The sequence below is a fragment of the Homo sapiens genome, chromosome 10, assembly GCF_000001405.40.
Source record: "Homo sapiens chromosome 10, GRCh38.p14 Primary Assembly".
NCBI lineage: Eukaryota > Metazoa > Chordata > Mammalia > Primates > Hominidae > Homo > Homo sapiens.
Genome location: NC_000010.11, coordinates 122618897 through 122635357, shown reverse-complemented (window position 1 = coordinate 122635357; position 16461 = coordinate 122618897). Strand labels below are relative to the sequence as shown.

General features: G+C 46.4%; 1 protein-coding gene across 5 annotated transcripts in view; it reads right to left on the bottom strand.

The window, feature by feature from the left end:
• The window catches only part of DMBT1 (deleted in malignant brain tumors 1), an 82983-nt gene that overhangs the window by 8379 nt on the left and 58143 nt on the right, over positions 1-16461 (bottom strand). For 4 of the 5 annotated variants that reach the window (NM_001377530.1, NM_007329.3, NM_004406.3 and 1 more), the window contains 11 exons: positions 16021-16050; positions 15067-15105; positions 13978-14301; positions 10055-10081; positions 9393-9425; positions 5365-5518; positions 4868-5070; positions 4077-4397; positions 3483-3503; positions 2468-2497; positions 2017-2167 (listed from right to left, as the gene is read on the bottom strand). In NM_001377530.1, the coding sequence (NP_001364459.1) occupies positions 2017-2167; positions 2468-2497; positions 3483-3503; positions 4077-4397; positions 4868-5070; positions 5365-5518; positions 9393-9425; positions 10055-10081; positions 13978-14301; positions 15067-15105; positions 16021-16050 (1333 nt within the window). The remainder of the gene's footprint in view (positions 1-2016; positions 2168-2467; positions 2498-3482; positions 3504-4076; positions 4398-4867; positions 5071-5364; positions 5519-9392; positions 9426-10054; positions 10082-13977; positions 14302-15066; positions 15106-16020; positions 16051-16461) is intronic. The other variant, NM_001320644.2, reaches the window with a different exon arrangement.

Sequence of the window (16461 nt, the reverse complement as noted above, 5' to 3'; positions counted from 1 at the left end):
GAAAAGTCCCTAGTGCCCCCACAGAATAAAATCAATATGCATGAATTCATAGTGAGAGAAATAAATAATTGAATAAATAAATACTGGGCAAGTCAAATAATCTCTCTAAAGCTTTTCCTATTTACAAAGGCAAAGTAATCTGATCCATGCACACTGAAGAGGGCTATGGTGAAGCTCAAATAAAACAACATACAGAAAAGGGCTTTGTAAAATGTCACAAATGGTGATGGTCATTGCTATCAAGATGCTGGTTAAAGAACCAGTCATGGTCAACCTTTTCCCATAGGACTGCATCAGCTTTAAGTGCAATCTTTGTATTGTAATGACAAAGAGAATAAAATGATGTATCTTTTGCAAAATCCCAAATGAATCACTAAAGCAGAGACTCCAAAGCCCACTGCAAACAGAAATCAACAGGGAAAACTATTTTGTTCAACAGTGGCTGTTAGAGAAGAAATTAGTGTAGCCCCTTGTTCAGGACACTAGCAAACACTGGTGCCTCTTCACAGTTAGCTGGGCCACCCGCCTCCTTGGATAAATCATATATTAATGTACTTTTGACATCAGGCATGGTGGCTCACACCTGTAATCCCAGCACTTTGGGAGGCCGAGGTGGGAGGATAACCTGAGGCCAGGAGTTGAAGACCAGCCTGACCAATATGGTGAAACCCCGTCTCTAATAAAAATACAAAAATTAGCCAGGCATTGTGGCGTGTGCCTGTAAGCCCAGCTACTTGAAAGGCTGAGGCAGGAGAATCGCTTGAACCCGGGAGGCAGAGGTTGCAGTGAGCCGAGACCGTGCCACTACATTCCAGCCTGGGTGACAGAGCGAGACTCCATGTCCGGAAAAAAAAAGAAAGAAAGAAAAAGAGAGAAAGAGAGAGAGAGAGAGAGAGAGAGAGAGAGAGAGAGAGAGAGAGAGAGAGAAGAGAGAGAGAGAGAGAGAAAGAAAGAAAAGAAAGAAAGAAAGAAAGAAAGAAAGAAAGAAAGAAAGAAAGAAAGAAAGAAAGAAAGAAAAGTGCTTTTAGTAATGTCCTCTCTGCTTAAAACGATGATTTCTACTTATGATTGGATGCAGAGCAGATACCCTACCCTCTGGAGCAGCAATTCCTCCATCTCTGCCCGACCCCTGGGGAACTCACATGAAGAAAGGAATGGGTGGAGAAAAAGGGTTCCACAAAACAGATACAATTGTTCTTTTTGTTTTGTTTTGTTTTCCTGAGACAGGGTCTCGTTTTGTTCCACAAGCTGGAGTGCACTGGCGCTATCATAGTTCACCACAACCTTCAACTCCCAGGGCTCTAGCGATTCTCCCACCTCAGCCTCCTTAGTAGCTGGGACTACAGGTGCAGGCCACCACACCCAGCTAATTTTTGTACTTTTTTGTAGAGATGGGGGGTCTCCCTATATTGCTCAGGCTGGTCTTGAACTCCTGCATTCAGGTGATCCTCCTGCCTCGGCCTCCCAAAGTGTTGGGATTACAACCCTGAGGCAGCATACCTGGCCAGTGTGGTTGTTAATAGGATTATTAGTGCTATTATTGCCCCTAAGTCTATCATTACTACTTAACAACCATCTTTTCCACTGGACAACATTTTGTAAATATTTTCACATCTCTCTCCCTCTCTCTCCTCTCTGTTTCTCGTGACCTTCCCAGTAAACAGTGAGGTGAGGAAAGCAGGTATTTTATTCCCCTCTTTTGACTGAGGCTCAGGAAAGTTGAGTGACTTCCTGTGGTCACACAGCAAATTGGTGAAAGACCTAGGACTTGAAACCAGAGCTTTTGTCCACTCCAAGGCTCTCGTGCCCCCTCCCCAACTCTCCACGGGATGCCTCTGGGCTAGGTCAAAAATGTCTCTCAGCAAACTTCTCTCCTGGCTTTCTAAGCACCATTTATTCCCTCTTGAAAGGTCTGTGGGGCCCCAAGGCATTCTTCTGGGCGCACACTTAAGCACCATTTATTCCCTCTTGAAAGGTCTGTGGGGCCCCAAGGCATTCTTCTGGGCGCACACTTACTGGACATCTCTGAAGATCACAGTCACACGGTAGTTGTTTTGCACCTCAATGTCCCACACACACTTGGCATTGTTTGGATAGTTCCCGGGATAGAATGGGCTGGAAAAGTCCCCTGATGGTTGGGATAGGAAGCCTCCGCAGGAATAATCTGCTGTCAGGACAAAAAGTGGGAATGTCGGTGACCCCCAGAGCACACTGCACAGTCTACCTGCGGACTACTTTAAATTTAAATTACTTTAAAATTTTATAAAATAATTCCCAAGACAGAAACCAAGTAAGAGCAAGAGGTGGCCTAGATCTGGACCGTCCACTGAGGGCTGGCAGGGCACTCTTGCAGGGAGACCACTTTGGGGGAAGCCATCTCCTCCCCAGCCCCATTGTCACTGAGGAAATGGGAAGGGGAATTTCCAGGCCACTCTGCCACAGACTTGTCAGGGAGCTCAGAACTTACTGTTTGGACGGGTGATGTTGAGAAAAGGAGCTGTTGACAAAAAGAAAAGATCAGGATCAGTTTTCTGGCATCCCTGACACAGCTGTCGACTGCTCATGAGCTGTGCAGATGCTGTGCCAAGCCTGAGTCCACAGGGAGGAGCTGGACACAGGCCTTGCCCTTGGGGAGCTCACTTGCCTTTGGGGAGGTCTGGAGGAGAGCGAATCCCAGCACACTGGGAAAAGGATGAGATTGACCAAAGCCTGGGGAAGGAGAGGAGCCTGGAAGTCTGGCCCCTGCCCCAGATGGAGTGGGGAAAAAAGGGCAGTAATTAGGGGGCAGGCAAAGAGGTAGAAACGGGGTGTCCCAGGCAGAGGAACAGCAGGTGCAACTGCACCTGGGTGGAATAGATTTGGGAACCTCCGTGTAGATGGAGCAGGCAGAGGATGGGGAGAGGGCACCAAGCATAGGGAGCAGATCATGGGGAGCCCTGGCAGTCATGCTGTGCTGAGGAGCGGGGTCATCACCAGAAGACCCTGAGGAATCTCTTGAAGGGGCTGCACAGTGGAGAATGGATGGGAGGGCACAGGCCTGAAGCTGCTGCTATGGGAGGCCAGGAGGGGATGACAAAGCAAGCAGGGGGCGGGGCAGTGGGGGGTGTTGGAGAGGTGCCAGGGCCATGCTGGGAACACTCAGAGCAGCTCAGGGGCAGGCAGGGAGGAGCTCTGCGATGCAGTGGGCCCCATTTGGCCAACACTGGTCAGGGTCTGGTGTCTGTGAGGACAGTCAAATCTGACAGGTGGCGGGCCTCACCTCGGGACTGACTGGAGATCCTAATCTTAGGTGGGTCAGGCCACTGAAGCACAGAGAGGGGCACACTATCCTGGTGGCCGGCAGGGGAGGGGACAGGGGCTGTAGAGGATGGTACCACAGATGAACTCCTTGGAGAGTGAGCAACATGCCCTGCACAGTCTAGGCAGCAGTAATGGAGAGACCTGGAGACCAGGGAAGTGGAATGGAAATCGGAGGGACTTACCAGGTGTCGATAGATGGTTTCCTGAAAAAGGAATAGAAAAAAAGCATAGGTCACAGACATGTGGCTTGGAGGAGGGGCCGGAATGAGACAGAGATACACTTACATGGCCCATAACCTGACCCCCCTCGGCGAGGGTCCCCAGGTCCACCCAGCAATTGCTATTGAGAAGCCTTCCCAGCTTCCCCAGATGCTCCCTAAGTCCCGTCATACTTGTGGTCATCAGGATTACAGCTGAGGTCATAACACCCATCACTCTCTCCTTGACCATGATTGTTCTAAAACCATCCCAATTGTCACCAGTAGCAAGTACTATCATAGCCACCCCGACTCAACAGTCAAGGAAACTGAAGCATAAAGAAGTAAAATCATTGCTGGAGGTCCTTTAGTCAGATGAGTGTTCAGCATAATGGCCCTGGGTCCAGAAACTGGCCAAAGATAAAGCAGCCCCCTGCATGCTCTTCTGGAGTGCGCAGGCCACGAGGACACAATGACCAGCTCCTGCCTGGGCCACAGACACCATCAGCCACTGGCCTTAAGCTCTTGCTTTATAGCAAGTTACAGGTGAAATGGGCCTTCCATGGCATTGGGCCATACCTGAGCAGATGACACCAGCATCTTCACGATGATTACAGTTGTGGGAGAACCAGCCTCGGTTCCGGCACTGCCAGAGAGTGGATTCCGTCCCTGAGCACTCTACATCGTCCAGGGTGATGGGGCCAGAGCCAGAGCCAAAATATGCATTTCCAAGGGCTGAAACTGCACGTCCACACCCTAGCTGTCTGCAGACCACCTCAGCTTCCTGAATGGTCCAGGAGTCATCACAAACTGTCCCCCAGGTGCCACCATGGTAAATTTCTACACGCCCGGCACATAGACCATAGGATGAATTTAAATTGACCAACCTCAAGGTGGCATCTGAAAGACACATTAACTGAGAGATCATGGCCATGTCCCACAACAAATGTCCCACAACAAACCTCAAAGGCCAAGCATCCCACAGGCCTTTTCCCACCTCTAAAGTCGCCAAATAGAAATGTGGAAAAGCTGGGGTGGAGGTACTGGACCGCTCCATGCAGAGCTGAAAGGGGCTCTAGACATCGCCAAGCTCAGATCCCCTCACCTCCAGACGGAGAGGGGTGGCTCTGAAGGAGAGTCACCAGGTCCCCTGGAGAGTTGGTGGCAGACCCAAGGCCAGGTGGAACCCCCAGTCTGCACCCTTTGCTGCCTTCCCAAGGGCCTGCCCACACAGTCAGTGCCAAGAGAAAGAGAATGGGCCGTGCATCGCTGAGGCCCTTCTTTGATTTCCTTGGGGAACCATGGTGCCCCCAAAGAGGCAGCTGGGTAAATCCACCAAGCCTCATAGGCATGGTCTAGTGTGCACTTACCGCTTGGGAAGGAGTTATACCAAGCCAAAAAGCCAGTGTTTTGGAAACTGATGTCACTTCGAAAGTGAATGGTCATTCGGTTGTAAGAAGATGTAAATATTTGCCTGGTATCATTACAGATTTTCCCCAGCAGGAGACTGCTATTCAATGATCCATCAAAGATTTCAACATAATCAAAACTGCAGTTATGGTGTGCCTCCAATCTGTATGGAGAAAATGTATTCAAGTCAACATTGAAATTCCTATTGCCCCTCCATTTTATAAATAGTTTGCACTTTACGAGGGATGCCATTGAATACAGGTTTTTCTTCTAGCTCTTCCTCAATTAAGTCAAAGGACATCAGTGTTCCCTGATGCTTTATGGTAGGAATCAAAGCCACCAAAAGCTTGTCCATGGCACATGAGAGTGAAAAGCATCCCAGCCCAGGACACAGTCTAAACCAGTGGGTGTGCTGCAGAGGAACTCACCCCTCACCAGATGACCAGGCATTACTTACTTCAGATTACTGAAGCCCAGGTTTATGCGATAACCAGAATTCACTTCTATTTCCCAAACACACTTAGCATTGTTGGGGTAGTATGCAGGGTAGGATGGGCTGGAGAATGTCCCACTGGCATAGAATAAGAAGCCACCACAATTTGAAGAGGGTCCTAGAGAGGAGAGAGGGGACATCTCCATTGTACCAGGTCTTCAGGTATTTTGTGACAAGGAATCATCTGTGTAAGTATCATCCAGTTTCATCTTCTGCACTTTATAACAAGACTTAACTTTCCCTGTAAACAAGTCCCCTCTCTTGGGCCTGGTTCTAGGTGGCCCAACATTAGAAGCTTTGATTCAAGTCCCTGCTTTCCCTGTTAGGCCTGGACAGCAACCCTCTGCGAGGAGGTGACCCAAGCTTCAGAGGGAGCATGTGTCACCTCTAGCAAAAATGCCAAGAAAGCAACAAAGTGACAGCTATCATTGTTCAATCAGCTACAGACAGGGACGTGGGATAGTCCTGGCTGAACACAGTGCTGACCCGTGGAGAGCACTCCATAACACAGTGTGTTCCCTAGCGTCTTCCATGAGCACAGGACTCTGCCAATTCACAAGTAGCACAACGTTGGGTTAGGAGCAGGGTTTCTGCAACAAGAAGCCTGGGTTTGCATCTTGGCTCTGCCTCTATCAGCTCCATGATCTGGAGCCAGTTACTTAACCTCTCTGCCTCAGTTTCCTCATCAGAAAAATGAGAGTGGTAATGGCATCTGCCTCATCTGTCTGATGAGGGTATTAAATAAGATATGTATATATGAACATTTATACATAAACATAAGATAGGTTTCTATGTCTATATAAACTCTTAGAGAGTGCCAGGCACATAAGCACCCAGCAATATTAGCTATTGTTATTTATCAGAAAAGGATAAATATTAAGTGGTCAAACATTTTGTTGGTTGGTTTATAGTAATAAAAACTTTTTAAAAACATGTGCACACTCAGTGATAGAAATTAAAACGTCTTTTTTTTTCTTTTTCATAACTCTTTGTTTACTTTTTCTAAGGGGATAAGTCCATGGTTTTTAGCATACTGAGAGCTCTGAAATCACCACAGTCAATTTTAGATTATTTTCATCACCCCAAAAAGAAACCCTGTACTCATTAGCAATCACTCCCCATTTCTTCTCAACACCCTCCATTCCTGGCACCCACTGATCTACTTTTCTGTCTCTATAGATTTGCCTATTGTGGACATTTCATATAAAACAAATTGTACAATATGGTAGTTTTTTTGACTGACTTCTCAATGTGTTTTCAAAGTTCATCATGTTGTAGCATAAATCAATATTAAATTCTTTTTTTTCTTTTGTTTTGTTTTGAGATGGAGTTTCGCTCTTGTCACCCAGGCTGGAGTGCAGTGGCACGATCTCAGCTTACTGCAACCTCCGCTTCCCGGGTTCAAGCGATTCTCCTGCCCCAGCTTCCCAAGTAGCTGGGATTACAGCCGCCCACCACTATGCCCAGCTAATTTTTGTATTTTTAGTAGAGACAGGGTTTCACCACGTTGTCCAGGCTGGTCTCGAAGTCCTGACCTCAGCCAATCCGCCCATCTTGGCCTCCCAAAATGCTGGGATTACAGGTATGAGCCACCGCGCCCGGCCACTATTAAATTCATTTTTATTGCCAAATAATACTCCACTGCATGGACATATCATATTTGTTTCTCGATTCACCATGATGGACATTTGCATTGCATTCACATTTGGCTACTATGAATAAAGCTGTCCTGAACATTCACATACAAGTTTCTGTATGGACATATGTTTTCATTTCTCCTGGGTATATACCTAGGAATACAACTGCTGGGTCATATGGTGACTCCAGGTCTAACCTTTCGAGGAGCCACCAAACTGCTTCTCAAAGTGGCTGTACCATTTTACATTCCCTGCAGCCGTGCATAAGGTTTCCAATTTCTCCACATCCTCATCAACACTTGCTATTATCTGGCTTTTTGACTACAGCCCACCTACTGGGTGTTTCATTTGCATGACCCTGACGGCTAATGACATTGAGCATCTTTCCAATGCCTTCTCTGCTATCTGTGAATCTTCTGTAGAGAAATATCTTTCAGGTCTTTTGCTCATTGTTCAGTTGGGTTATTTGACTTTTTATCATTGACTACAAGAGTCACTTATATATCCTAGATACAAGTCCCTTATGAGATAGAAATACGTTCTCCCATTTGATGGGAAGACAGTGTTTCTTGAAGATCATGTGGCCTGCCCTCCCTTTCTATTTCTACACTGGGAAATAATTAAGGATAAAGTCAAACTTTCAGAGACAAGGATACGAGTTACATATTTCTAATCATTAAATATAAATGGTTATAAAATATGCTATTGTATATAGTCACTTAACATTATAAAATATAATTGGAAACAATGTTTTTGCCCCACAATTAGTAACCGTTTAACTAAATGATGATATATCTATACAGTGGAAAATCATATAGTCATTAAACCTTCTTCTATACAAATAATTTCAATGTTATAAAAATGCTAATTTTAAGGTCATGAAAAAAGTATTATATACACTTAAATGAAAATGATGGGTTATACAATGGGATATAAAGCATGCCATACTGTGTGTGTGTGTGTGTTTGTGTGTGTGTATACAGTGTATGGAATGTATGCCAAAATGCCAACAGTAATTATGTATTTATTCATTAATTTATCCATTCATTCATTCACTCATTTATTCCTTCAATAAACAGTTCTTGAAAGGCAGACACAATGCTAGATAATAAGGATACATTATGAAAAAGGCAGACATGGCCCCTGCCTTCAGGAAATGCAGTTTGGCAGAAAAGATAAACATGATCTTTTGCAAATATATTTCCAATTAGCTAATTCTCAAGATTAAAATCTTTCTGCAGCCTCCCTACCTTTAGGATAAAGATGGGAGTCTTAACCCACCCACAAGGCCCTGAATGATCTGGCCTCACCCGACAGATTTCCTGCAGTCCCTCCTTGCCCGCACCCCACCCTCCTTCAAAGAGCCAAGCTCCTTCCCACCCTAGGGCCTTCAAAGCATCCCTTCTGGTTAGAAGACACTTCAGCAAATGAACCTGCTCCTCTATTAACTCCCAGCTTAAATGTCACTTCCATAAGGAACTTCCCCTAACTCCCCAATCAAGGAAGATCTCTACTAATACTTCCTCTTTGCACACTGAACTTTTCCTTGGAAACAGTTGTCACAACTGTAATTTTCTAGTTTGTTGTGTACAAAATAATATTGTGAGCTCTGAGGAAGAAGATCAGTTTGTCTCTTACATCATTCCATAATTTTACAACCATTCTTGATGGTAGTTTGACCATACACACAGCAAGATCTTAAAATACCTAACACAGTAAAAGTTAATATGCATGAAGTACATTCTATGTACCAGGCACTACAATGACATTGACTTTGGTCCAGTAAACCCATTTATATCCTAAAGGAAAAATTAGTGAGGTATGCAAAAAAATTATCTATAAAAATATTCTTCATCACAAAATCATTTACAGTAATGAAGAAATACAAACAAATATCTAGCATCTGATGATTTGTCAAATAATTCATGGCATATCTGTATAATAGAATACAATACAGGGACTTAAAATGATTGTGAGAAAAGATTTAATAACACAGAAAAGTATCCCTATTATTTTTTAAAAGCAATGAAAATCTATTGAAACATAGCCATATGGTGAAATAAAAATGACATGGAAAAGCATAATTTGTAGTAAAATTATCCATTTACTATTTGTCTCCCTTCTTCCTCCTAAAGCTTTGGAGATACCCCCCAAAATAAAAGCCTTTAAGTCTATTATTTTAAGAATACTTATCTCATTGATTCAAATGAAGAGGTGAAGGGTATAGTGGGACAGGCCAGGGCTATGTGCAGATTGAGGAAGGCTGGGGTGGGGCAGAGCATTCGCTCATGGATAGCCAAGCTTGGGGATAAGAAATGTATGACCTATGGTTCAGGTAGAAAATGTGATACCTACTTGCAGTGGTTGTAGTTGTTGGATGCCACCAATCTAGAAAAAAAAATGAAGCTGTTTAGGATTTTAGTAGATAATTTTTCCATTCCATAGTAATTTGTTTGACTGACAAAGTTAAATCCTTTTCCTTAGTACAGGACTTCTCAGAGCCTTGACCATTCCAGTTTACACTGTTCATGGCCAGTAAGGTCTAGAGTATGTAGCACCTCCCAACATATTTGGCCCAGGATATTTTCACTGTGGCACAAAAACGCTTTGCGGATGGCTCCCTCAAAGTGAAAGTATTCTTTATTTGACAAATACGTGCAGAAGTATTACTTGGCTATGTTTCTAAAATGAAGGTCCTAATTTTCCATGGGTTAATTTAGACAGTTATTTTCATCTGAAATAATGGGAGGACCAAAGCCTCCTTCCACAGCAGCATCTCTGCCAGCACTTAGCACTATCAGCAGGCAATAGCAGGAGGCCACAGGGGCCCTCCACGGTGAACCAGACATGAGAGTGATGGCAGTGGGAACTCAGCTCGTCACCCTAACAAAGATCAGAGTCCTCAGAGAGAAATTACCCCCCCAGGGGGAGTCTACCCTACTCCTCCTACTTCTGGAAACAAGAGAGGGTGGAATTCCCAAGAGAAATATTGCTGGACTGGGGTGTAGCAGACTCACCTGTCGTAGTAGAATTTATTTGGGTGGCTGCAAGGAAAAGAAGAAAACATGAGTCAGTCCCAGTGCCCAGGATGATGAGCGAGAGAAATGCTGAGTGCCTGTCCCCATCTCATCACTTAGAAATGCTCCCCAAGAGTCATCCAGGAGAGTGGAATAGTAGATATAAACCTTAACGGTTAGTCTCAAAAAAAGATGTTGGAAGAATTCATTCTTACAGCCTGAAAGTAGATTGAACCCTTGTTTGCTATAGGAACCTACATAAGAAAGAAGCTAGTGCCTACCCATAAAATTCAAAGACGCCAACAACATTTGCTGAGGTTATTGCCTTGCTGAGGTATCAGAGAAACTGGCCATCTTGAAGAGAAGCTCAGGCTGGGAAGAGGCCAGTGCAAAGAGAAGCCTTGTCATGGAGAAAACCACACACTAAAATAGAGGCCCAAGGTCTTGGAGGCCCATCTGAACAGATGACACAGCATCTTCACTGTGCTGACAGCTGTGGGAGAGCCAGCCATTGTGCGGGCAGCTCCACAGTTAGGACTCATTCCCTGAGCAGCACACATCATCCAGGACAATGGGTCCTGAGCCCTGATCAAACCAGGCATTTCCTGGGAATGCCACGGCCCAGCCACGGCCCAGCTGCCTGCAGACCACATTGGCGTCATTGGTGTCATCATACACGGTGCCCCAGGAGACTTGGTACAGGACCTCCACCTGGCCCTGACACTGGTCACCTCCATTCACCAGCCTCAGGGCCAAACCAGAATTGGATTCTAGAAAAGACAGGAAAATTAACTCTCTCCTGTATCTCCTAAAGGAAGAGGATCTGAGGTCAAGTGAAGTTCAGAATTCTTCCAGAAGGCCAAGGTTTCTGGGTCTCCAGTTAATGTTCTCCAGCAGCATAGACATTGACGGAAGCCTGTTCTTCATCATTTTAAGTTGATGTTCTTCATCAACTTAAGGGTTGTTTTCTAGAACCCTTGGGTGTGGACTGAGCTGTGCATGTTCTCTGATGGAGTTACCCCAGTGACCAGCAATTCAAGTGCTGAGCCAGGCCTTCAGATTCAGAGGTTAAAGTGCAGGAGCCATCAGCATGGATCTGCAGGGACCACTGGGCTCAAGTGCCCCTGCAGCAGGATGCAACCGAGACCAGCTCCCAGCTGCCTGGCAAGGTGCAGCCCTAGGACCTGGTTCTTGGGAGAGTCCACCTCTCCACCTCTGGCTGACTCACTCTGCTCACAGGGACCACCCCATCAGGCCCGAGGCTTATTCCTGAGTCACTTTCAAACCCACAGCTTGCCTTCAATCTGAAACAAAACCTGGACCTACTGAATACCATGAGCTACAGGGACAGTGGGCAGAAGCAACTATGAGGACACTTAGTTGTGCATACCTAGCAGTGCCTATGCCTGAGAATGGAGAAAAAATGGCAGAGTTAGGCCTCCATGAAGGAATGTCACATGCTAGACACAACACTGGGCCAGGCATCCTGATCCCTCTGTGTACCTGAACCCTGTCCTGTGAGCCTGGGCTAAGATACTGACATTAGTCTAGTTCCTCTGGCCTTCAGCTTAGTATCTATAAAATGAAGCCCCTGTTCTCCCAAGAATATATACAAAGGGCCCACCAACACATGAAAAGATGCTCAACATCATTAGTCATCAAGGAAATGCAAATCAAAACACCATGAAATACCACCTTACACCCACTAGGATGGCCATGATGAAAAAGACATCATAACAAGTGTTGGTGAGGATACGGAGGAATCAGAATTCTCAGGCATTGCTTGGGGGAATGCAAATTTGGTGCAGCAGCTGTGGCAACTGTTCAGTGTTTCCACAATAAATTAAACATAATTACCCTATTACCGAGCAATCCCACTCCTAGGTATATATCTCCCAAAATTGGAAACACAAGTGCAAACAAAAAACCGTACACTAATTCTCATAGCAGACTTATTCACAACAGCCAAAAGATGGAAGCAACCCATATGTCCATAAGCTGATAAATGGATAGACAAAGATGGCGTAGCCATACAATGGAATATTAGTTGGCAGTTAAAAGTAGTGGAGTTCTGACACATGCTAAAATATGAATGAACCTTGAAAACATTATGTTAAGTGAATGAAGCCAGACAGAAAAGGCTATGATTCCATTCATAGAAAGTGACCACAATTCTTAGTAAAATCTGTATACAGAGGCAGAAAGCAGATTAGTGGTTGCCAGGGGCTGAGGGAAAGAGAAATGGATTATGAATGGTTAAGGGGTAAGAGCTTTCAGTTGGGGATAATGAAAAAGTCCTGGAACTAGATAGAGATGATGGTAATGAACATGGGCAACAGCCAGGGAGAGGGAAGGTTCCATCTCAGGATAGAGGGGTAACGTCAACCAGCAAAGAGCAGATAGTATCAAAAGAAAGGAAGGGTCCAACTGAGGGATGGCTATCTCTGTCACAAACATCCTGCCTGTTTTTTATTCTAATAGAAACAGTCATTCCTATTTTAAAAAGTAGCATCCTACAAGATTCAAGTAGAGCCTAGTGCCCCCATCCTTCCCGTCGCCCCAAAGGAACACAAAGATGGGTATAGAACTCTGGCTGAGCCGTCAGAGCTAATAGAGATGGTTTGGAAGAAAGCACCTGTTTACAAGCAGGTCAATCAAAGTCCTCCCAGGCCTTGTCAGCCAGAGGTACTGGGACAGACTGACTCCTTCTCCTGGTGGGATATAGACTTGGGGCTGCCCACTGCTGTCTCTCAGCCACATGCAAAAAGCAAGTTGATAGTGAAGCCCACACAGATAAAAGAGTAGATGTAAGCAAAGCATGGGGAAAAAAGACTTGGAACTTCTGGAACCAGCTGTACCTGAAGCTCCAGATCCACCACTAAACATTCTGGATAACTGAGACAATGAATTCCTTTCTAGCTTAAGAGTGTTTGAGTTGAGTTCCTGCCATGTGCAAACAAAAGCATCCCTAATAATAGATCCTCTTTAAAGATCAATTGACAACTGGTAGATACCACATTGATTGAGGTAGGGAGCGGCCAGAGGCTTCAAGCAAGACCCAGGAGTTTCACCCAGACCTGCTGAATGCTAGTGCTTTGGCTGGATTCAAAGACGCTCCTTATAAGGGATCCAAGCAGATTCTGTCCACCATTTCCAGCTCCAAGGCAATTAACTCTGTGTCTGGATGTGATGTCCAATTGAACCAAAACCAACCCTTTCCCTTGCAGGTTTTAGCAATTCACCAAGTCAGCAAGTCTCAGGATACCACTCCAGCAAAAATCCCCTGTGTGATCTTCCATCCCAAACCACACGTAATAACAAGGCTTTGCCTGGCAGATCTCATGGGAGCTGCCCTCCCAACACCATGCTTGCTAGACACACAATGCACTGCAGTTCTTTGGAAGGAGCTGAAACTGACCAAGACCCAGGTCACACATGCACAGATACCCGTTTGCACTCTTAGCCCATATGCCTCCAATCCAAATGCTCCTTACTGGGGCCTCAAGTGAGAATTCCCTACCCCAACATATGTCCTTTCCTTACCATGAGCCTCCTCCTAAGGAGAGGATCCCTCCTCTGCCCCGCTGTCTGTGCTGTGTCCACCATACCCTCACCCAGTGCTACTCAGTAGGGGAGAAATGGAGCCCTGGGGAGCCAGAAATTTTTTCTTCTGCCTCTTCCTTGCACTGCCTCAGGAAGGGGATAAAGTCTGGGTTGTTGTTTCAGTTTGGTCCCCTGTCCTAAGTGACCACAGGAACACTAGGCAGTGAATTCATATGGATTCTTAGCAGAGAGCTAACAAGTCTTCAAAAACACAGGAAACACAGGAGAAGCTTTGAGTGAGGAGATCAGAATGTAATTAGGAGTTTCTTCTGGAGCAAACTCCACCCCAAGAGAGGGAGCCCCAGGTCTTGAAGGCCCACCTGAGCAGATGACACCAGCGTCTTCGTGATGGCCACAGTTGTGGGTGAGCCAGCCTTTGTGGGGGCAGCTCCACAGGTAGGACTCATTCCCTGAGCAGCGCACATCATCCAGGACAATGGGTCCTGAGCCCTGGCCAAACCGGGCATTTCCTGGGGCCGACATGGCCCAGCCACAGCCCAGCTGCCTGCAGACCACATTGGCATCATTGGTGTCCCAGCTGTCATCACACACGGTTCCCCAGGAGCCTCGATACAGGACCTCCACTCGGCCTCGACACCTGTCACCTCCATTCACCAGCCTCAGAGCCAAACTGGATTCAGATCCTACAGGGGAACACAAGAACCCTTCATCCATACTGATTATGAGGTCAAGGATTTAAGGAATGTTCCACACTCAGGGCACTTCCTAATGGCCAAAGTCACGTGTGCAGGTAATCACCTTTGAATATGAATACAGACAGAGGTTCAGCTTCATGATAGTGGAAGAAGCAGTGATGTCCTACTCCACCCAAGTCTATGGAAGCTCAAGTATTGGGGAAGCACCTGTGACCCCACTGGAGGTGACAGGAATGGACGCCTCACTCCTCATTCTGAGCTCCATTCTCACACAGGATGAAGCTGCACAGCTCCAGATAGGAGGCCAAGACCTGCCTCACGTTCAGGAGTTTGGTGGCACCCACATGATCCTCTCTGGCTTCTAGCAAAGTGCCAGGAATGGTAGGACATTGGCCAGACAGCTATGGGGACAGGCACTTTCCCCACTATTCGCAGGTCTGCAGCCTGTGGCCTGAGGGCCAGGAACAAGGTCCCAGTAGGATTAGGGAGCCCTCCAGGGCTTGTCCTGAGCACCTGGCTGAGGATCTTTCCTGACTACATAAAACAGAATCCCAGGGGAGACAGGTCACCAGCACCCTCCAGCCTCCAACATCTGACCCAGGACTAGGTTCCCAGGGAGTCTACCTCCCCAGGCAACTCGCGGAAACATGAAAAACAGAGGCGCCAGCTTGAGCCTCATTCTTTCATTTTCAAAAGAAACGTTTGTCCAGAGGTAGAGAGTGAGCCCTAGGGAGGGGCGAGAGGATTATTTACCTACTGTCAATGCCGGTAAGTTGGTGGTCAGCCAAGTATCTGTAAATTGCAACAAAGAGAAAGGACAAAATTAGACTTGAGGGAGGAAAGCTACAAAAAAAAATCTCTGAACCAGGCAAGCATCATGAAAACTATTCAATTTCTGGTTCCTGCCACTTGCTCCAAGTGCTACCCAAGTCTTCAGCTCAGTGAGCACAGCCAGGAACAAAGGCCTTGCTGGAGACCAGTTCGATCCCTCCTACCTCTGAAGTGTGAGATGTCCTCTTCTCAGCTACGAAGGGTTAGCCTGCCCCATCCAGTGACACATGGACTGATGGGCACATGTGACACCATTGCTGAGACTCTGACAGTTCGAGCTAAAATGTTAGGGGAACCAAGGAGCCGCCCAAAGGGGTATCAAGTTTCCTGATAAGTGGAGGCACCAGAAATATTTATTATCCCTCTCCCTGCCCGAGCATGGCCTCTGCCTTTTCTGGATGCAGATATGGCCTTGCAAAATCTGGGGTATTTGAAGGAGTGAGGGACGGAGGTATCAGGCCTGCACTGACATTGCTTGCCCATGGCAGAAGTCATGTTTAAGGCTTGAACTGACATTGCCTTCCCAGGTGACTTTGGCAGTCACTCTCAATTCTCAGAAAGGTTGTATCAGCTCTGAATATAAATGAGCTAAAGCTCATTAAACATGAGGCCACTTCCTGAACCTGTAAGGCTTGTCCATTGTACAGTATGAAACTGCTTCATGAAACCTGAAATAAATTGAACAGAAGACAGAAGCCTCCTGAACCCTATGTCTGTTGAAGCACTATGCTGGGGTCTCAGTTACAGAGTGGTGGGAGGAAAAATAATATGCCCCACAGTATCCGCACAGAAAAGCAGGAGAGCTCTGTGGAGTGGGGAAGAGGTAACTGGGCAGAAAGAGAAGGGACATCCCGATGAAGGATGCTGGGGACTCACCTGGCCTGGGCGTTGACTGGGACTGAGCAGCTGTGAGAAAGAGAAGAGAAGGTCAGATCAGATGCACTATACAGAAAATGGCAAAACTGGAACAAAGATAGAAGGAACTGGGCAAGCCTGACACTCAGTCCATCCTAGTCCCTATCACAGAGGGAGGGGCATTGCCATGTAAATTCCCACAGAGATGCACCATATAAGGGGTGCAGGCAGATCCTGGCCACTATTGTCAGCTCCGAGGTGAGTAACTTTGTGTCTGCCCAGGGTGACCAGGTTGACCCAAAACCAACACTCTCCCTTGGATGTTTTGGCAGTTCCTGAGTCAGCAAGGCTGAGGAGGCCACTCCAGCCCAAATGCCTTGTGTGATCTTACAGCCCCGACCACAGGCAATAACAAGGCCATGCCTGGCCAGACTCATGGGGGCTGCCCTCCCCACACCAGAC